Source organism: Homo sapiens, chromosome 10 (assembly GCF_000001405.40).
Source record: "Homo sapiens chromosome 10, GRCh38.p14 Primary Assembly".
In the NCBI taxonomy this organism is placed as follows: domain Eukaryota; kingdom Metazoa; phylum Chordata; class Mammalia; order Primates; family Hominidae; genus Homo; species Homo sapiens.
In genome coordinates, this window is record NC_000010.11 from 62,223,403 (window position 1) to 62,246,109 (window position 22,707).

At 34.8% G+C, this 22,707-nt stretch overlaps 1 protein-coding gene across 9 annotated transcripts in view; it reads right to left on the minus strand.

The window, feature by feature from the left end:
- RTKN2 (rhotekin 2) overlaps positions 1 to 22,707 on the minus strand; it is an 84,945-nt gene that overhangs the window by 39,503 nt on the left and 22,735 nt on the right. For 8 of the 9 annotated variants that reach the window (XR_945618.3, XM_017015844.3, XM_011539457.4 and 5 more), the window contains exons 3-6: positions 22,597 to 22,655; positions 17,740 to 17,793; positions 16,246 to 16,363; positions 12,664 to 12,861 (exon numbers count right to left, since the gene is read on the minus strand). Coding sequence is in view for 8 of the 9 variants with exons in the window: in XM_017015844.3 (XP_016871333.1) it covers positions 12,664 to 12,861; positions 16,246 to 16,363; positions 17,740 to 17,793; positions 22,597 to 22,655 (429 nt within the window). In the remaining variant the exon portion in view is untranslated. Of the gene's footprint in view, positions 1 to 12,663; positions 12,862 to 14,754; positions 16,364 to 17,739; positions 17,794 to 22,596; positions 22,656 to 22,707 lie in introns of those variants that run through there. The other variant, NM_001282941.2, reaches the window with a different exon arrangement.

Genomic DNA, 22,707 nt, shown 5'->3' on the forward strand with positions numbered 1-22,707 from the left:
TCAACAACAAATAATAAACAACCTGATTTAAAGATAAGCAAAGGACGTGAATAGACATTTCTCCAAAGAGAGGACAAGATCCAGCATTACATTCTGACACATTACATTTCTCCAAAGAGAGAAATGTCTATTTCTCTTTTGTTGACAAATGGTCAACAAAACATAAAAAGATGCTCAGTATCATCAGTCATTGGGGAAATGTAAATCAAAACCACAATGAGATATCAGTTCACACTCATTAAGATTAGTAAAACAAACAAAAAAACAGTAACACATGTTAGCTGGTATGTGGAGAAACTAAAACCTTTGTACATTGCTGGTCGGAATGTAAAATGATACCACCTCTGTGGAAAACATTTTGGTGGTTCCTCAAAAAATAAGAAATAAAATTACTGATCCAGCAATTCTACTCTGATATATACCCAAAAGAACTGAGAGCAGAGACTCAGATATTTGTACACCTAAGTTCACAGCAGCATTATTGACAATAGCCTAAAGGTAGAAGAAACCCAAGTGTCTATCCAGGGATGAAGGAATCAACAAAATGTGGGGTAGGTGTGTGTGTGTGTGTATATATACACATACATATGCATAATGGAATATTATTCAGCCTTAAAAAAGAAGAAAATTCTGACATACTACGACATGGATGAATCTTGAAGACATTATGCTAAGTGAAATAAGCCAGTCATAAAAGGACAAACACTATATATGATTTCACTTATAAGAGGTACCTAGAGTAGTGAAATTCATAGAGATGGAATCTAGAATGGTGGCTGCCAGGAGGATAGAAGGAGGAATTAGTGTTCAATAGGTACAGAATTTCAGCTTGAGAAGATGAAAAACTTCTGGAGATGGAGGGTGGTGATGCTTGTACAACATGAATGTACTTAATGCCTCTGAATGTATATTCAAGAATGCTTTACTACAAAAAAGAAAAAATTTAGATATAATAGATGACATTTTTCAACGATGCAAGTTATTAACTTAGCAAGTTTATCTCTATACTTTGTCAATAAAAATCTGCAAATTATTTGTTTTAATTCACACAAATGTTTCTCTGAAGGGTCCCCGTTCATTTAATAAATATTTACTGAACACTTAAAATGTGCCAAGTCCAATGCTAGGTGATGGGCATTCAATGGTAAACAAGATCCAGCATTACATTCTGATGCAGGCAGAATGAAAAAAAAAGTAGGCAGAGGAATAAACCAAATACCAGCATTTGCAAGTTGGAATGCAACTTTTTCTATGAAAGAAACAAAGGAGATGAGAAAACTGAGGACCTGTGGTAGGTAGGTGAACTGGGGAAGGACTTTCTGAGGAGTTAACAGTTATCCAGTCATAAAAGAATCTAGCCAAGCAAAGAATGCAGGAAAACATTCCAAGCAGAGTGAGTATCTGCAAAGGGAGGGCTGAAGGAAAACCAGTGTGGCTAGTGCACAGCAAGCAAGCAGCAAGCATGGTGCAACGCAAGGCTGGAAATACAGGGAGTGATGAGCTCACCTGGAGGCTCTGTGAGCCCTGGAAGAGGAGTGGATTTAATTCTAAGTGTAATAGGAAAGTTGATAAAAAGTGGAATGATAGGGTCTGATTTATATTAATTTCCCAGGGACAAAGGCTGTCTTTTTGACCAAACTCTAGCCATGATCCTCTGAGTCCTTTACTCAACTAGGCCTCAACCTTGGCCTCTAAGGACCTGAACAAACACTAGCATTGTTTCTAGCAGCTCTAACCTGCATCCCTAAGATGTCTTCTTAAAGTGCCTGCTTGAGAAAACTCGAGGCTGACAAAATAATTTATTGTTTGTTCCAACCAAGAGCTGAAAACAGGGCCTTTCAGTCTTTCAGTCTCTGTGAGAAGGTAGGAGACTAATTTTGATAAATACCAGCTAGAGCACCCAGGTGGGTTCCACATGGACCAATCCCCCCTTCCCACTATCTGGAACTTTTCACTTAGCTAACTCTGAGCCTCACTCAACCTCTCCCAGTTTCCTCACTTTCCTTTAAAATGACCAGTTGTCTCTACACAAATCAAAGTTGAGTGCAATTCATGTGTGACTCTTCTTATTGTAATAGCACATTACTGATTCAAATCTGTCCTTACCACTTTAGCATCCAACTTTTTTTATTTTTCACAGAATGAATCTCCTTCTTCTGGTTATCTACATCAGAGATTTGAGGGTTTTATCTATAGTGTGAGAACATGGATGACTTCATTACACTCATTCCATTTTTTTCATTATAGTTCCCTTTGTGGTACTTACGTTAAAATAGCACTCTTACCAAAATACCTAGAATTTCTCGTGATGAATTTCATATCCTGGCACTTCGTGGTGATAAAAAGTGAATTTATGTTCAGTAACAACTGTATTTTCTTTTCTTTTTTTTTTTTTTTGAGACGGAGTCTCACTCTGTCACCCAGGCTGGAGTGCAGTGGCACAATCTCGACTCACTGCAAGCTCCGCCTTCCGGGTTCATGCCATTCTCCTCCCTCAGCCTCCCGAGTAGCTGGGACTACAGGCGCCCGCCACCATGCCCAGCTTATTTTTCGTATTTTTAGTAGAGACGGGGTTTCACCGTGTTAGCCAGGAATGGTCTCGATCTCCTGACCTCATGATCCACCTGCCTTGGCCTCCCAAAGTGCTGGGATTACAGGTGTGAGCCACTGCGCCCGGCAACAACTGTATTTTCTATGCTAGCAATCCTAATTTTTTTCATGATTTTCTTGATTTTATTTTTTTTCCAAATCAGTAAAATCTCAAAACATCAACGAGTATATTAAAAGAGAGAGACAAAGAGAGATATAGAAGACAGTGATGTCTGATGGGAATTTATATTAATTATGCTAGGTGTTATGTTTCATAAACCTCCTTTGTTTCTTACTAAATCCTTAATAAAGTCTCTATTACAAAAATACATATGCATACACTTAGTAAGTATGCAATGTATGCATGCACTTCAATAAATAATAGCATACTTCATAGAATACTACTCCCTTGGAGAATGCCTCTTGGCTTTTACTATATAGTCATTACAGACCAAAGATAACTCTCTATACCCAGTGTTTCTGGTCAATGTTTATATAGGAAAATTTATGTTTCTGTCTCCAAATTTCAACATAACATTTTAAACAAAACAATGCATGAGTACATTTTCGAGTTACATTCTGAATTGGTATAATGTCAGACTCACACTTAGGCTTTTCAAAAGTTCACTATATATCAACAAATCTTAACTGCTGCTAGAACTAAGAGAGGGACAAGTGGCCATTCTCTGCTATTATTCATTTATTCTGAACAAGTTTCTACAGTGCCTTTCACAATAAGCTCTTATTTTTCCCTATTGTTCACATAATGAATCCCCAAAAAGTTGAAGTATTAAAGAAAACTGTGGAGAAAGAATCAAAGTAGGCTGGGCATGGTGGCTCACGCCTATAATGCCAGAACTTTGGGAGGGTGAGGCAGGAGAATTGCTTGAACCCGGGAGGCGGAGGCTGCAGTGAGCCAAGATCGTGCCACTGCACTCCAGCCTGAGTGACAGAATGAGACTGTCTCAAAAAAATAACTAGAAGGGGGTTTTAAATTGATAACACATTATAACGTTTCCCACTTAAAATAATGGGAAGTAGACTCACTGTGAGCACTTTAGGGCAGAATATGTTATTTTCAAGAAAAGATTATCGACAATAAGTGGGGTGCCTTCATTTGCCAGGCACTGTTCCAGGTGTTAAAACGACAACAATCAACGAAATAGGGGAGGAGAATGTATAAATATGTAAACATACATTTATATATTTATCTATTTTTCCTCTCTTATACAGGAAGAAAAATAGATAGAAAAATATATAATTGTATCAAGCCCATGAAGCTAAGTAAAGCATGGTGAAGGGATTAAGGTCAGGGGAGAGTGCTATTTCAGATGGCCAAAGGAGAAGAAGGCCTATCTGCAAAAGTAACACTTGAGTGAAGACCTGAAAGGAAGAAAGGAGCCACAAGAAGAACAGAAGGAAGAGTATTTCAGGCAGAGGACAATACATATAAAGGCTAAGGTGAGTACATGCTAGGTGTGTTTGACAAACAAGGAGGTCACTGTGACTGGAGTATAGTGAGGGAGGCAGAGTGATTTGAGATGTCCAAAAGGTAAGTAGGGGGCAGACAGACAGACAATACCACAGTCCTGGTGGGGCACGGTAAGGAACACTGGATTTGGAGTGAGATGTGCAGCAAATGGTAGGTTCCGAGCAGAGTCATGTGCTATGATCTGACTTGTATCAAAATTAAATGATTCCTCTGGCTGCTGTGTGGAGAACAGACTACAGAGGCCAGGAGTGAAAAATGAAGACACCAACTAAAAGGCTACTGCAACTGACCAGGCAAGAGCTGTTGCAGGCCTGGAATAGAACGGTGGTGGTGGGGTGGTGAGAAATGGTTGAGATTCCTGATATATTCTCTAAGTTTCAGTGCAAAGACAGGATGTGAAAGCAGGGAGAGAATTAAAGACATCTCCAAGGCTTCTGGTCCAAGCAACTAGAAAAATGGAATTGTTATGAACTGAAATGAGGCTGACTGAGAAACAGATAAAGGAGGTAAGAATTCAGTTTGGGGCAAATAAGTTTAAGACTGTTTTTGATATCTAGGTGCATTATTTGAGATTGTTTTCAGTATCTAGATGCATCCAGGCAACTGGATATATGAGTCTGGAGTTAGAAGAGAAATAGGTATTGGAGATATAAATTTGGGAGTTATCAGTATATACATGAAATTTAATGAAAGTTAGTTAGGTGAAGTCCAAGGACCAAATACTGGGACACAAGCACTCCATTAAATGAAGAGCAATGAACAAAGGAGACAAGCAATGAATAAATGGTTACTGAGGTGGAAGAAAAATCAAGAAAGTGGTATTCTAGACGCCATATAAAAATAGTATTTCAAGGAGAGTGATCAATTGTGTTAATACCAAAAGGTCCAGGAAGAGGAACTCCAATAACTGACAATCAAATGTGGCAACATTAGATCACTGTTGACCTTGACGAGACTAGTTTCTGTAGGATGGGATGGAGGTAACATGAGGTAAGCCAACTGAAATGGTTCAATAGAGAATGGCAGAAGAGGAAGTAGATAGGAATATAAAAAATTATTTTCCATGAAGGATAGTTATGAAATAAAAAATTATTTTCCATGAAGGATAGTTATGAAATTGAAGGTATTTCAGCATGTTTATAAGTATACAGAAATGATGCCGTACTAAAGTTGGTGATGTAGGATAGGTGGGGAGGAAACATGCAGGAGCCTACTGTGAGTAACTGAGAAGTGGGCTCTAGCGCACAAGTAGACAGGCCTTAGATGAGGTGAAGGTAGTTCACAAGAAAGGAAACAGCAAACACTGAGGCAGATGTGGGTAGGCTGGCAGATTTGGTGGATGGAGGATATTTTTCTCTTCCAATTACTTCAGTAATACCAATGACATATGAAACAAAGTTATCAGCTATGAATGAGGGGCAGAGAGAGGATATTGGCAGTTAGAGAGGAGAACATGTGAAATACTTACCTTGAAGAGAGGTAAAGTAGAAGACTATAGAAACAGTAGAATTGCTCGGTCATACTGGGAACCCACTTAAGGTTAGGGATTATGTATCTCAAGTGAGACCAGGAAGTATAACTGTTTTTCTCTTGCTTCTTCATCTATTCCTCATGAGTACGAGTGCAAAGGAACTAAAAGTAGGAGTTAACCAAGGTTGGAGTTTTTCCAAGGCAAGTATGACAAAAGAAGAGAGATGCTAGGAAAGGATAAAACAGTAAATTATGTATTCTAAGCTAAGTTGGAGTCAGAGTACTGAAGGGAAGAACCTGGAAATGTGGGATATGGTGGAGAGAGTGGGATACCTACTACAAAGATTACAGAGGACATGCAATTACTAGTAATGACAAGATCTAGAATACAATCACGGGGTAGATGGTTGAATTGAAAGAGGACAAGATTACTGGTGCAAGGTCATGAAACTGAGAGGTCAAGGTATTAGATGGGCTAATACTTGTATTATTCTTAACACACGTATGTTAAGTCTATCAAGAAAAATATCTGAAATGGTAGGATACAGAAATAAAGACAATGAAGACACTTTTGGGTTTTATTTTTAGGACTGACACTGTAATTTATTCTTATTGGCCACTAAAAACATTTGAGTAGTCTTCACTTTAGGAAGAGTCATTTCAATATACTGTAGAATGTTAAACACTATTAGTGTGCACAGGAAGAAACTATGTTATTCATTGCATCTGTACTGGGTGCACTGGAGAGATGGCATGTTTAGAAGGCAATTTGTGTGGCAGAATTGACTAAAATTATGTGATAACCAAACTATATGTTTAAATTTTTTTCTTGGGCCTTAAGAAATGATTGTGACTAAGACATCTTTTAACTACTTTAAGGTTAATATGTAAGATATTTACCTCTATTTCCAATGAATGACACATAACAATATGAAAAAAATTATTGATAGCCTCCTCTAAAAACAGTTAAACTATGATATAGCCCACTAACAGATAATGTGGCCATCAAAATAATTATGTAAAGACTCTGTAATAAATTCTGAAGAAAGTTGAATGTGCAGTATAATTATTGTCTAAATATCCCCCAAAGCTAGACATTTAAAAACCTGAAAGTAAAATATCAGCTTGAAATGATAAAAATTATTTGGTTTAGAAACTACGAGTAACTTTTTCCTTCTAGGTTCTATTTCCAAGTTTCTATTATTTTTCTTTTTTTCTTTTTCTTTTTGTATTTTGAGACGGAGTCTCTCTCTTGTTGCCCAGGTTGGTGTGCAATGGCTCAATCTCAGCTCACTGCAACCTCTGCCTCCTGCGTTCAAGCGATTCTCCTGCCTCAGCCTCCCAAGTAGCTAGGATTACAGGCGCTCACCACCACGCCTGGTTAATTTTTTGTATTTTTTTTTAGTAGAGACAGAGTTTCACCATGTTGGCCAGGCTGGTCTCAAACTCCTGACTTCAGGTGATCCACCCACCTCGGCCTCCCAAAGTGCTGAGATTACAGGCATGAGCAACTGCACTGGGCCTATTATTTTTCTAACCAAATGATTAATGTGGTTAAGTGGTAACAGGATGAAAACCACCCCTAGGAATCAACTGCATGCAAAGCATTGTCATACTTCATCTCTATGTGCAGTTTAAGGCACTTTGACAAGCAACATCTTTTTTAAGGTTCAAAAAAACTGCTCGAGGTAGGCAGGGCAGATATTTTGTTCCACATTTTCAGATGAAGAAACTGATGTTCAGAGAATGTAACTGACTTGCCTGTAGCTTGCAAGAGGTATACTGGAAAGAGAGCCCCAGTGTATCGTATTGGCTTTATAACTCACTGAGCCCCAGTGTATTATATTGGCTTTATAACTCATTAATAAATAGTTTAAGATACTTTTTCCTTTAAAACAAATAATGACTACATTTTACTAAACTGGAAGAATTTTGAGTGCAGGGACCTATTAACCTTTGAATTTACCAAATGACATAATTGCTGAATAATCATTTCTACAATGATTTAATTAATTATATATAATAGTTGAGTAACTTCTTAGTTATGTTTACAAACTGTATCATCTGTCACATCACCAAATCTTTAACAGTCTCGTTCCTCAAAACATAAATAATCCATGTATTCTGAACAAGTGTTTGGATGCATGTTTTATAACTTTAATCATATTTAAAATGTAGTATTATAAAATGTAGTATTAGTGGCTTATTTTTAAGAAACAATACATCTTTTGTCAAGTAAATAATCATGCTGAATTTTACCAGTTTTCACACGATGATTGCTTAAAATGATGTATATTTAAAGAATAATGTACTAAATAGTTATCAAGGAACATAAAATAGTTAATTCAGCTATTAGATGCACTGGGAAAATCTGGCTAAAGGAATTTTAGTAAGCTAAATTCCACAATAAAATGAATAGATGAATCTTATCAGGGAGCTTACTAAAAATTACCAAAAATGTTCACTGTCTTCTTTCAGATCAAACAATACTTTATGATATTTCAAGTTGCTTCATTTTTAAAACATGACTAACTACAATGCCAGTGCTTCCAAAACCAACAGTGACCTCACTTTTAAAACATTCTTGTCAGGATAACATTTTCTTTCTAAAACATCACACTCATTCCTTTTAGCCAACCCTAATTTTGAGTTCCCAAAAGTTTAATCAGCTACATTTTTTTTTCTATCAAATAGGGCAATTGTTACAACATTTTTTTGGAGGAAGGGGAATGTTATTAAAAAAAAATGGCTTAAATGGTAGTCTAAAAAATGCACTCTTGTCAGGAAGAACGGCTATATTTGGTCACATATCATATTACTAGGGAAAATTTTATCATTTTATATGTGTCCATTTTGGTTAAAGACTAAAAGCTGTATTAGAAATCTTCGCATTGACCTAGATCACTTAAATATACAAAATTGATCCCCTTATGCATCCTGATTTTTAAACTCCTACCATGGTGCTGAAGTGGTCAGTTAAGGAAGCATCAGGTAAGAGTAGTCCCGGGCTATGAGTTAACCTAGTAGACTCTGGGTTCACACTACAGTGTCAACAGAATGCTGGTATTACAAGGACATGATTTGTGAAATGTTGTAAAAGGTTTTATTGTATCTTTTGACCCACTTTAATGGTATCAAATAAACAAATGGCACGCAAGATTCAAGGGGGAAATGTTTATAAAGAAAATTCGTGTTTGAACTCAGAATAAACCAAATAGAATGAAAAATTCTGAACAGGAAAACAGACACTCCAAGATCTATATGGCTGTCTATTAAAAAGAACTTAATGCACAATAATTTATTCTCAAAAATTCCTCTAGGCTTCAAAAAGAAATATAGATTAAATATAATTTCTTTCTTTCTTTTTTTTTTTTTTTTTGAGACAGGGTCTCACTCTGTCATCCAGGCTGGAGTGCAGTGGCATGATCACAGCTCACTTTAGCCTCAACCTCCCAGGCTCAGGTGATCCTCCTACTTCAGCCTCCTGGGTAGTTGGGACTACAGCTGGGGCTGGGTTTTTGTATTTTTAGTAGAGAAGGGGTTTCACCATGGTGCCCAGGCTGGTCACGAACTCCTGGGCTCAAGCAATTTGCCTGCCTCGGCCTCCCAAAATGTTGGGATTACAGGTATGAGCCACTGCCCCCAGCCTTAAATATAGTTTCTAACATCATTTAAATGACCTCCTATAAAATTATAAATGTAGTTTAAATGAAAAAATGTGGCTACATTTTATAATCCTATGTCAAGTTTCTAAACTGTGAAGTTTTAGCATGAGTTTAAAAAAAAAAGCCCTAGAAAAAGCACTGGTCTGGGAACAGTAAAAATAGTAACCATAATGGTAACAGAGCTTACTACAAAATGCTTCCTTTATAAACCAAATCCATGAATTATCTTATTAAATCTCGTAATTATCCTATGGAGTTGAGATATTATTATGTATTATTATTACAGAAGGAAAAACAAAAACTCAGAGTAAATTAATCTCTCTTGGGTCACAGAAGTAATAAATTACAGAAATTAAAAATTGAGTATTCATGGACAAACAATGAAGTTTTAAACTGTTTAAGAAGCACATTCATTGTTTTTACATGCTGTAAAGGTGCATGAAACTCCAAAAATGTTTCTGAAAAGCTTTCTAAAAAGAAGTGATTGTGTATGAACATCTTTGCCTTTCATATGAGAAAGTGAGGGGAAAATGTAACTTTTCTACCATATAGTGTAGTTGGATAAAAGACACTACTGGTCCTGTCATTTTTAAAATAGGAGCTTTGCTACTTAAAAAATGTAAAACTTATTGAACTGGGTAATTATCTCTAAGATCTCTTTCTGCACTAAAACCTGCTTAAACCTGGAAATAGAATTGTTTATCTAATCATTAAAAAGAATTAATTCCACCACCTTATGACTGAATTAAAGTACCTTCCAGCAAATCCTTGATATAATATTAATGCAGAAAAGTTTTAAAGATGGTCTTAGATCTAAGAGAAGAAAATTAAAGGTCTCTTGCCTCCTTTTAAATGACATTTACATTGGAAAGACATCTTCTATGACTGTTTTTCAGAATGTAGACTGGGACTGATTCACGGGTCATGAAATCAATTTAATGATTTACAAACAGCATTAAAAAAAACTGAAAGCAAAAGAATAAGAAAATGCCTGATAATTATATTGTAAATAGTAAGGGTTAAGAATTACTTCATAAAATCTATCTGCTTACATAACTGTGCACTCAGTCACGATGTAAAATGTATTTTTTTAGCATGAGCATCAATCCAAAGAGATTGAAAGACACTATGCTAGAGTGCCAAAGTATATTTTGCATGTAATATATATCACATGAAAAGAGTAATTTCATTAAATTCTGATGACTGGCATTTCTAGGATCTATACCTAAAATATTTTGCTTTTTATAATTACAGTAAAATTACTGACATGCTGAAGAGCCAACTCGACGAAACATGCAAAGAAATTCTAGGAATGCAGCTTGATCAACAGTGTTCCAAAGAAACATCAACATAAAACTATTTGTGAAGAAACAAATACAATGTTTAAAGAAGGTATCTGAAGGAAACCACGCTCCTTGGAGAAATGGTGTTTCCAAGTCTTGGCAGAAAAATACAAGGTGAAAGGGGAACATCTTACTGTGTCAGAAAGCAAAAAAGCTATCAAAGATTAGGTTGTGTCAAAGGATGTAGAAGTCAGCTTAACGGTTTCCCACTGATCAAAGATGAACAACTTGGGCATCAAAGAGAATGGCAGATTGAAACACAAACATTATAAAAATTCAAGGCTGGGTGTGGTGGCCTCATACCTGTAATCCCAGCACTTTGGGAAGCTGAGGCAAGCGGATTGCTTGAGCCCATGAGGTTGAGATCAGCCTGAGCAATGTGGTGAAACCCTATCTCTACAAGAAAAATACAAAAATTAGCCACCAGGCATGGTAGCATGTGCCAGTAGTCCTAGCTACTCAGGAGGCTGAGGCTGCAGGGAGCTGAGAGCTCCACTGCACTCCAGACTGGGCAACAGATCCAGACTTGTCTTAAAAAAAAAAAAAGAAAAAGAAAAAGAAAAGAAAAGAAAATTCAAGAGTTCAAATAAAACAACACTGATCACCTCCATGATTGCTAGGGTTTCAACTTAATATTCTAAAATCTAGTAAACGGAAGAATCAGGCATTTTTTTCTTCTGTTTCCTCCACCAATGTTATTGTAGTTGTATCCAGAGAGTTTACAAGGACACGTTCTTTGCAAGAATTCCAGTTTGGAAGAAAAGAATGCAGGACAGATATACAAAGTCACCAAATTATAATCCATAATGAAATAATAAATGATTATCCTTGGCTGTTAAAAACCATAGATAAAAGACTGATAGAGAACTTTATATTGGATGGGTTAGGCTGGCAACACCTAACATTTTAACATCATCAATTTTAACATTACTGAAAGTGGGACAAAGCCTCCTACTAGAAGCTAGTAGGAAGTACATCTAATAATATGAATATTATTCCCCTAAAAGAGAACTGAATCTAATCAGTCCTCTAGATCTAACTGCGAGGTTATAGGAAATACAAGGGCCAGAAAAAAATGTAAAAAAAGACCACAAAGATGCAATCAACTAAATTCAAAATATGGAAAATTCTACAAGACCTAGTCTCTTCAATAAATAATGACAAGAAAAAAAGAGGACAGGAAATTGTAGTAGGCTAAAAGAAACTTAAAAGACTCACTTTAATGTAATATTGTAGACCTTGTTTGGATTCCGATTTGAACAAATCAAAACAGTATTTTTTCCAGAATTGGGCAATATGAATACAGACTGGATATTAATGACTTATTTTTTATTTAGTTAAGTATGATAATGATAATGTGGTTTTGTTAAAAAGAGATAAAATATTTTCTATAAGAATAAAGCATGACATACATACAGCAATTTAATTAGTAGATTAATATGTAAAGAAATACTTTGACATATACATAGTTCCTTTCCAACAACATTTCATTTTTTTGGTAGATACAAGCTGAGCATCTCTGCTCTGAAAATCTGAAATGCTCCAAAATCTGAAACTTTTTGAATGCCTATATGACACCACAAGTGGAAAATTCTACACCTGACTTCATGTGATGTTTGAAGTCAAAACTCAGTCAAAACTTTGTTTTATGAACAAAATTATTAAAAATATCATGGAAAATTACCTTCAGGCTATATGTATAAGGTGTGTGTGTGTGTGTGTGTGTGTATACATGTATGTATATAAAAATTAATGTAATGTTTAGTCCTGGGTGCCATCCCTAAGGTATCTAATTATGTATATACAAATATTCCAAAATCTGAAAAAGTCCAAATCTAAAACACTTCTGGTCTGAAGGCTTTCAGATAAGGGATATTCAACTTGTATTAGAATTCCAAATCACTAAAAACACTCTCACCCAACTTCCTACCTTTAAAGGAGGGTATTAAGGATACCTCAGTTGAGTAAATGTCAAACAACTAAGTTTTGTTTTTGTTTCCTGATGTTTTTCCATTTATAAAGTAAACATACACTTCACATATAATACTTTAAAATATCACAAATGTATAATTATGTCACCATAAATACAGTATTAAAAACTTACAAAACAGCAGAGCTGAGGAGCAAGCACATTTCATCATCCTCTTCTTGAAGCACTGAACTTATTTTCTTTCCTGTAGCTTTACTTATAGATGTCTTGAGTTTCTTAGCTAGCTTTTTTGGTGTGTTGGTTATAGAAGATTCTTCTGTACAGCAACTATACACTTCCACCTTTATCTGAAAGTCTGGCCCTGCTTCATTACTAAAAACAAGGGCATTCATAATGTTGGAAATTTAACTCAGTAGAAAATAAAATTATACCATTCTTTTATGTTTATGTAACATTTAAAATCAGCATTTAACATCAGGAAAATGCAAATTAAAACCACTATGAGATACTACTTCACACCCATAAGGATGGCTATTATCAAAAAGGCATGAGATAAATTGTTGACGAGGGTATGGAGAAAAGGGAACCCTAGTACACTGCTGGCGGAGTCATTATGGAAAGCAGTATAGAGGTTCCTAAAGAAATTAAAAGGGAAACTACTACATGATCCAGCAGTCCTTCTTCTGGGTTTATACTGGAAGGAGTAAAATCATTACCTTGTGAAGTTATCTGCACTCCCCTGTTCATTGCAGCATTATTCACAATAGCCAAGATATTGAAGAAACTATAAGAATGCAGCATTATTCACAATCGCCAAGGTATGTCCATCAATGGTAAAACAGATAAAGAAAATAAGCTACGTGTGTATACACACACACAACGGACAACCATTCTGCCTTAAAAAAGGAGATCTTGCCATTTGCTACAACACGGATGAACTTGGAGGATATTAAGTTAAATAAGCCAAGCATAGAAATGAAAATATTGTGTGTTCTCAATTATATGTGGAATATTAAAAAAAAAAGAGCTCAAAACCATAGAAATAGAGAAAAAAACAGTGGTTACCATGGGCAAGGACTGGGGGAGAGGAAATGGGGAGATATAGGTCAAAGGACACAAAATAGCAGATATGTAGGATGAATAAGTTTAGAGATATAATGTACTGTAAAAACATGAGGTGAATGTTAATCAAATCATGTTAGAGATTTTTGTTAAATAGATTTTAGCTGCTTTTGTCACAAAAAGTAACTATGTGAGATGATAGATGTTAATCTGTTTGATTATAGTAACATTTTACTATTTATATGTATCCTGTAACATCGTGTTATAAACCTCAAATATACACAATAAAATTTCTTTTTAAAATAAATAAAAGACTGCAGGGGAGCCAAGAGAAGATTGCAAAATCTCCTCAATAAGTGCAAGGTTTATGGGAAAAAAAATAAGAATTTGGAATAAGTTTATGTTAATGTATGTTAATGAGACAGAATCTCTCAGTGTTTATTTAGCATCTAAATGGCCTGAGAGAGTTACCGCAACTTTCACAGATATCAGCTTCAAAACTAGGGCAATCTTAACTCAATTTAACCAATATATACATAGGCATGTTAAAGAAAGCATAAAATACCCTGGTCATTTTGTTGCCAATACTATTTCTCCTTGTCATTCCTTTAATACATTTTTAAGGTATTTATATGTGTAATTTTCTGAAATGACTGTTCTTCCAAAAAAAATCTGCTAAACCTTTAGTTTTCATTTCTTCTTTATAAAGAGTCACTTATAGTGCACTCGTCACTGTGTCCCCTGACCCTCCCCCACTTTTGTACCTAATAACTATAAATAACATTTTACTATCTGGTTATACAGGGGAAAAATGTACTTCAAAGCATGAACTCCTTGAGAATGGGTGCTGTCTGGGTGATCTTTGTGTTCTTAATCTAGTATTGGCCTGGAATGTAGGAGGTATTAGATATATATTTATCAAATAAATACGCAAAATTCTGCAATTTTAGCAAATGTTAAGATTGGCTTTACCCTTTTTCAGACACAACGAACTACCTTTGAACTACCTTTAGCATTAAAGACTGTGGTGGTGTTACTAACAATAAAATATACTTAAGACTGCAAAAGAGGTCCATCAGCAGCAGATGTTACTTGCAGATGGAAGATCCATCAGTTTCAGAGATTTAAAAAATGGAGCACAGACTTTTAAAGATATAAATGGCCAATCTATAGTTTGAAAAAATCCCAGGAATAACTTCCAGCTATTTTTATAGTTTATTATTTGGCAACTTTTAAACATGCAGTATTCCTGGTAATGACTAACAAATGTCAATATTTAGAGAAAAACCAGAGATTCATAAATATTGAATACTTATTAAAAACAATCATCATAACAAAAAGCACATTTTTCAACATGTAGAACATTTGTCAGCAGTTATTTTTAGTACAATTTAAAATATTTACAGAATTCTCAAAAAATTATAAATCATGTGTTGTCTTCCTCAGTAACTTCTATTGTTCTTTCCCTGGAAAAAAAAGTCTGATTTTTGTCTCCATGATCAAAACAAACAATAGCAAAATGATGTGAAGAAAAGGGCCCATCAACTGGTAATTTTGGCAGAAAAAAAAGTTCACTAGCAATAGTTGATAATGGAAATAAATGTATTCAGATAACCAAGAAAAAAGTAATTTTTTTAGCCTCAATTATATAAGCATTTGGGGATATGTTTTGGATCCTAAATAAATTCCTTTGGTTCAATACAGCTTGTAAGAAGGCCTGAATTACTACTTATAACTCAGAACAATGCATTTTATTTTTCCAGGCTATACTATTACTATGAGACACTGGACCAGAAGCTACAAAATATGGTTTACTATAGGTTTTTTTAATGTTATGTGAGTGGCAAAACTAGGCCTCTAAAATCTCACCTGTCTAGCTCCATAGCTGAAAATGGCAAAAACCATGCACATGGATTTTTATATTAATAGTTAGTAGCTATTAACATTTAGATCTAAAGATCGTGTCTTTAAAAGTCTAAAATACAAATCCCACACTGATTTAGGCACATAGAACCTTTGAAGGAGGGCAGGAAAAACTATGTTAGTTAAAAATGATTTCTATGGCTACCCAAGGAGTTCCTTCTTGTTCTGTATTATGACCACAATAAAATGAGCCTGTAAAAGAGCAGGGACAATAAAAACAGCCCTGAGATCACCCATTTTTTTTTATTGCTTTGAAGTACATGAAAGAAGTGCACCATAAGAAAAAGAACACCCCAAAATTTCAAAGTGCTCTTCCTATATAGCATGTACTTCAGGACTATCTTGTAAATAAAGTTGCTATACTATTTTAGTATTTCTGCAACCAAATATCCTACATGAGATAAAAATCCTGTTTTATGCTTAAATTCTCTCTATATCAAATAACATTACAGGATATTCTGTTGTATGCATAGCTTTGTTAATAACTGAACTATATTTATTAACAATTTAAAAATGGGTCATATCTAATAAGTCAAATATTTACTGCTAATAGTAATTACAAGATTTCCATTTTTATTTCACATCAGAAAACTGCAGATAGAGAAATGGACTTCTTCTGAACAAAATGATTTTTAAAATCATATTAAACATTTAAAGATCACTTAAACATTTAAACATAAAATGAATCCAAAGAACCAATAATAAGAACTTTCTTTTAAAAAAGAAGAATTTTAAATTATTTTTATTCTCTGAAGATTAAAAAATACTTACAATATGGTTACATTTTCAAAACATATATCTGTGATTGTTTTATCCACATTCACCACATCAGTATCAAACACATTAGCTCCCATTTTGAATAAACAAAAAATGGCATAGCGTCGTGATCCTGGAGGAAAAATAACAACATATTAAGCAACAATCCATGTAATAAATCATTGTTAAAATCTACTTGAAAATAAATATTAGGTTAAATATTATTAATAGATTCTTTTCATACATTGTATACTGTAACCCTTAAGTCTTACAGTGACTGTTCTCCCAGTATATAGGAATACCTTACTCAACTAGAACACAATTAAACAAGGAAGCAAAAAATAAAGTTAAATATACAGGCCTCTCAGCAGCCTAAAGAAACCACCAAACTCATAAATTTTATTCCTATTAAACTTCTTAAGCTTTAATTAATAGTAAACTTTATATACACACATGCGCGGGCATGCAAGCGTGCACACACACACTACTACTACCGCTGTCATTTTGGTTTCCAAGTCTATTTAAGAAAAAGATGTTTTTTATTAGAAGAGGTTAAGAGTAGGCACATTAACGACAGCAAAATATTTTCCACCAAACTAACAGCAAGGGAGGAAACCACAAGAAAAAAAAAAACAAAACAATAAAATAGACATGAGAACACAAAAAACATAGCTGCTGGGCCTTTTGATTTGGTGATGTTTTAAAAAGTATTAGGTGATTAAAAGGCTAAATCCTCATTATTGAGAAAATGTAGCTCTTCAGAAAAACTTACTCTCTTTAGTAATCAGAAAGCTTTACTTAATTCCCACATGTATTCCTTTGTAAAGTAAATTATATTTCCTAATTGAATAATAAATACTAACCTGATTTTAAATTCTTCATATAAAACTAATTGTGCTTAATATGATTCAGTTTTTAAAGTACAAGGAACAAAGCTATCACAATAGACAAGAAAGATAAAGTATTATCATATCTTTCCTGCTTTGCCTCTAATAGCTAGAAATCATTCGAGGTTAATTTCCATGACCTAAGCAATACACGGATTTGTAAAGACTGTATAAAACCATAAAATATTGAAGGAAAAAAAATCAGATCAAGCTAAAAATCTTTCCCTATTTCATCCTGTTAAATAACCTGAAGTAATGAAATAAGGCAGAAAAATCTTCCAGATTCTGGTCAAATACAAGAAATGTTGGCTTTACCTTTATTCGCTAAACATTTTCTTTTGTTCCATATTTCCCTTCCCCCGTTCCCACTCTGAACCCGGTACTTACTGTCCTAGCACTGGTTCCTATCAACAACTAAAAGTACACTACATATGCACTATATTAATTAGTATCAAGTGACTGCAACATATTTATATTAAAAATCAGAAAACAGTTCAAGATGCTGCTTATTCTTTCAAATGACATCAATTTATTTCAGCAAGGAAGCAGTCTTTTTTCTCAATAATCAGATACACTACATACTAAAGAAAACATTTCAATTACAAATTAAAATCATACATACGTTCTTTATTGCTGAAGTGATCAGAGTCTTTCCACATTAGTGGTATTCGAATATCTATAAAGAAGGGAAAAAGAAATGACAAGTAATAATTTTGGTAAGTTTTATTCTTTACAGTGACCTGAACCTCTGCATTCCATAATAATTCTGACTACTATAGCTAAAATAAAGTGTTATTATTTAACAGCACATTTTCTAGACATTGTTTATAGTTTGTACTTTTAAAAAGTTAATCTGTCAAATTTTTGTGAGGTAAAAATATATTCTTCTTATAAAAATAACTGTTCTAACTCCATATATATCTGTTTCTTCCTTACTGATTAATTATGACATCTTTATCATATATGCCATTCTGAGTAAATGTCTGTTCCTTGGCTATACTTTTATGAATTTGAATCATTTATTAATTACTGTCTAGCTAAATACCAACACCATACTATTTTTCTTTTTTTTGTTTTTTGACAGGGTCTTGCTCTGTTGCTCAGGCTGGAGTGCAGTGGTGCCATCATGGCTCACTGCAGCCTTGAACTCTAGGGCTCAAGCAAACCTCCCACCTAAGCCTCCCATGTAGCTGAGATTACAGGTGTGTGCCATCTGTTGCCCAGGCTGGAGTGCAGTGGCACAATCTCAGCTCACTGCAACCTCCGCCTCCTGGGTTTAAGTGATTCTCCAGCCTCAGCCTCCCGAGTAGCTGGGACTACAGGCATGTGCCACCACGCCTGGCTAATTTTTTTCTATTTTTAGGAGAGATGGGGTTTTACCGTGTTAGCCAGGATGGTCTTGATCTCCTGACCTCGTGATCCGCCTGCCTAGGCCTCCCAAAGTGCTGGGATTACAGGCGTGAGCCACTGTGCCTGGCTGCCTAATTATTATACTTTTTTTTTTTTTTTTGTAGAGACAGAGTTCACTATGTTTGCTAGGCTGTTCTTCAACTTCTGGGCTCAAGCAATCTGCCCTCCTTGGCCTCCCCAAGTGCTGGGATTACAGGCATGAGCCACCATGCCTGGCAACACTATACTACTGTTAACTATTGTACCTTTATAATATACTTACTAATTTGTTAGATATATTTCTTTTTTGAAAACACCTTACTCTTACTTGCTAATTTCTTTATATAAATTTTAGAACAAATTTTGTCAAAATTTCCCTTTCCCAAGTGTTTTATTAGTATTCCATTATCCAAATTAATTTGGGAACTGATAACTTTATAATATTCTATCTTTACACAGAATAGCATAATAATTTGTCTTTACATTTTTATTAAGGTTATTCTTGAATAATTAATATTTTTGTTTTTTGGAGGTTTTCTTGTAAAGGGTATCTTTTTGCTATTATATTTTCTAATTAGTTATTGTTGATTTTAAGATAAACTACCACTTTTTGTATATTTATCTTGAATCCAGCCACTTTTACTGAATTCTTTATTCATTCAAATAGTGTTGCAGTAAATTCTCTTAAGTTTTGTAAGTCTACAATCTATTACCTTTTTTTTTTTGAGACAGCGTCTTGCTCTACCACCCAGGCTGGAGTGCAATCGTGCGATCTCACTGCAACCTCCATCCTCCCCTACCACCCCTGCCCCCGGGGTTCAAGTGATTCTCCTGCCTCAGCCTCTGGAGTAGCTGGGTTTACGGGCATGCACCACCACACCCGGCTAATTTTTTGATTTTCAGTAGAGACAAGGGGTTCACCATGTAGGCCAGGTTGGTCTCGAACTCCTGACCTCAAGTGATCTGCCTGCTTTGGCCTCTCAGTGTGCTGGGATTACAGGCATGAGCCACTGTGCTGGGCCTACAATCTATTATCTTCAAACAGTATTCAATTTATCTATTTATTTACTTTTTAAATTTTATTATTATTATACTTTAAGTTTTAGGGTACATGTGCACGACGTGCAGGTTTGTTACATATGTATACATGTGCCATGCTGGTATGCTGCACCCATTAACTCATCATTTAGCATTAGATATATCTCCTAATGCTATCCCTCCCCCCTCCCCCCACCCCACAACAGTCCCCAGTGTGTGATGTTCCCCTTCCTGTGTCCATGTGTTCTCATTGCTCAATTCCCACCTATGAATTTATTTTCAATAGTTTCATCTTTTATTCTTATTATTTTAGCTAGAACTTCTAAAATTGTTAAATTATATTGGCATAACAGACATTGTAATTTTGTTTTTGATTTTTATGAGAATGCTTTATTGTTTTGTAATTATGACTTGGCTGATATCCTGCCAAAAAGTCCACTTCTTCTTGCTTGACCACAGCTGCTGACTCATTTCATTTCACAACTGTACTTATTCACAGCTGTTCTTGCTCTGTTAGGATTAACAGAGCATTAACTATTTACACTATCATGGGAGGGACATGGATCCTGACTTCCTTTGCTGTACACCCACAACCTGTGGGTCAGCCTTCTTCTATCCCATGCCGAAGAGAGGAGGGTAGATATCAGCTCCACAAGAGGAGAAGCTGGATACCGATTTTCCAGGTAGTCTTGTGCTCTTCAGATAGCAATGGATTTGTAACCCATCAACTCTATTTCTGAATTCAGCTTCCAATGATAGAACTTCCTTCCAGATTCTTGCAAATGGCTCAGTTTCAGTTTACAGTACTCTAACTTTTGTCTTGTTTTATGTCTTCATTGCCATTTTAATGGTAAACTGGGAGAGTCATAATAAGACAGCTGACTTGATGCTATCAAGTCCCAGAAGTCTGTCTATCATTTTCAAAAGTGAAAACTAAGGTACTTGGTGAACTGATTTGGTTTATTCATTAAATTAGTAGTCGGTGACTAAGCTAATTACCACAATATAATTACGGTAAATACTACATTTACATATGGTAAATATTTGATGTTCAGCAGAAATAATAAATTTGTGATTTAGTTTCATAAAGACCTGGCCAGGGAGTGATGTAGCTGGAAACAGAAAACCCAGGTATTTTCTGGCTATCAATGTAATCTCAAAACATTATGACACTTTGTTGCAAATATTCATCTTTACCAAAACAAAGGTCACATTTTCATCCCAATATCAAGAAAAAATGGATTTATAAAGGTGAATTCATTTTTTATTTTGTTTTTACAAACACATACAAGATATAATTAAGTCTAGGCAAAGATGAAAAGACATTACGTAAGTATCCGATTTTCTCAGAGTTTCCGTTCCTTAATTTAAAATTATCTTTTGGAAAGAAGAAACACATGCAGAAATAAGTTCAATTTTTACACTTGAGTAATTGTGGGCAGGAAATAGTTTTTTATTTTATTTTAAATACTTTTACTTGAGCCTCCTTCTAAATGTACAGTTATTTCTAATATTATGAATTGCTACAATCAATAAACTGTTATGAAATGACAATAGATGTTGACTATCATGGCATTTGAGTGTTTAACAGCAACTTAACATATGTCATTTATATACTGAGTGACACTATATTAGAAGCAAGAAATGAAGGATATGTTTAGTTTTTATAAAATCTCAAAGATCTATAGTAATTTATTCACAAAAAATTTATTGCACATAATGAACAATACCACATAAAAATACATGTTTGATAGCAAAAGAATACAAGGATAAAACATGTTTTGTTTTGTATTATAAAGATAAAAACAAATATAAATAACTATAAAACAAGCAACAAATTTTTACATATTCCAGTTATTTTCTGAAGAATATTTTGCTTAGCTGAATGCAATTCTTCAGATTTTGGCCATTTACGTACTTTGTAAAATGTAGGTCTACCGTCCTGTGTGATAATTTTGTTTATCCAGAAAAATATTACTAGAAACAGTTCCTTAGGTGACAGTACCTCAAATGTAGCAGCAGGCTCTCTAGTACAAGACTTTTAGCCAATAACCTAGTGATTACTTAAGGACCAATGGAGGTATATACTATTGTTTCAAAAATGTACTGATAAGAAAATATTTGTAAAAGTGCATTATCTGACTAGTGTACACACGAGTCAGCCATGTATTCATTTCAATCTGTGGCATCTCCAAGCCATTGTCTTTAGCTTCCTGAACACTTTGGAGAAACTGAGACTGCACAGCATAAGTGCCATCTAGTGGTGAAGGGTCTCCTAACTGCATTAGGAATTGAGAGAAAGGAAACATCCTTTCTAGTTGGAACGGTAACAGAGATTATATTATATATAGATAAACAAACAGATATTTAAGAGAATGTAGTTATTTCACAAGCTAATTGGGTGTCAGAAGCATGGGTTATGTTGCCAGGACAAGGAGAGAAATGTCTGCTAAAGGCGACAGCTTATGTTTAGGAGTAATAGAAGATATGACTAGAAAAAAAATTGGGTCAAAATGGAAGACTGGAGAAAAATGTTTGGTCTTTACACTACAGGCAATGAAGAGCAGCCATCCATCCAAGAGTCACTGAGCAATTACTATGAGCCAAGCACCATGCTAGCTTCTGGGTGTAAAGTGATGACCAAAATAAACATGGTACCAAAACCTCATGGAACTTCTGACCTAGACAAAACATTAAAAACATTATTATAGCTTCTGAGCAGGAAAGGAACAGAGTCAAAAGACTTGGGTTTGGCCTAGCTCAGTCACTTAGCCTCTGAGTCTGTAGAAAATAACAATTACTCTACCTATTTTACAAGACTGCACTAGGGAGAAAACTGTAGAGTATGTAACATATGAAACAGTTTTCTTAAACTCTAAAGTTCTATATCAATGTAGCATATAATGCTAAAAACAGTGTTTTAGAACAAATATTCTGATAGAGGTATGAAAAACAAAATGAAGAGAATGGAGACAGGGCATAAAACAAAATCCACCATGTAGTTACGTTATAGAATTTATTCAGCAATATAAAAGATTCATTTATAGCATACCTGATATGGCAATCTTTCCTTTACATGCTGTTCGTTCTTTACTTTCAAATTTCACATCACTGTCAAAACAAAAAAACTTATGGAAAAAAGATCTTTTCTAATAAGCAATTA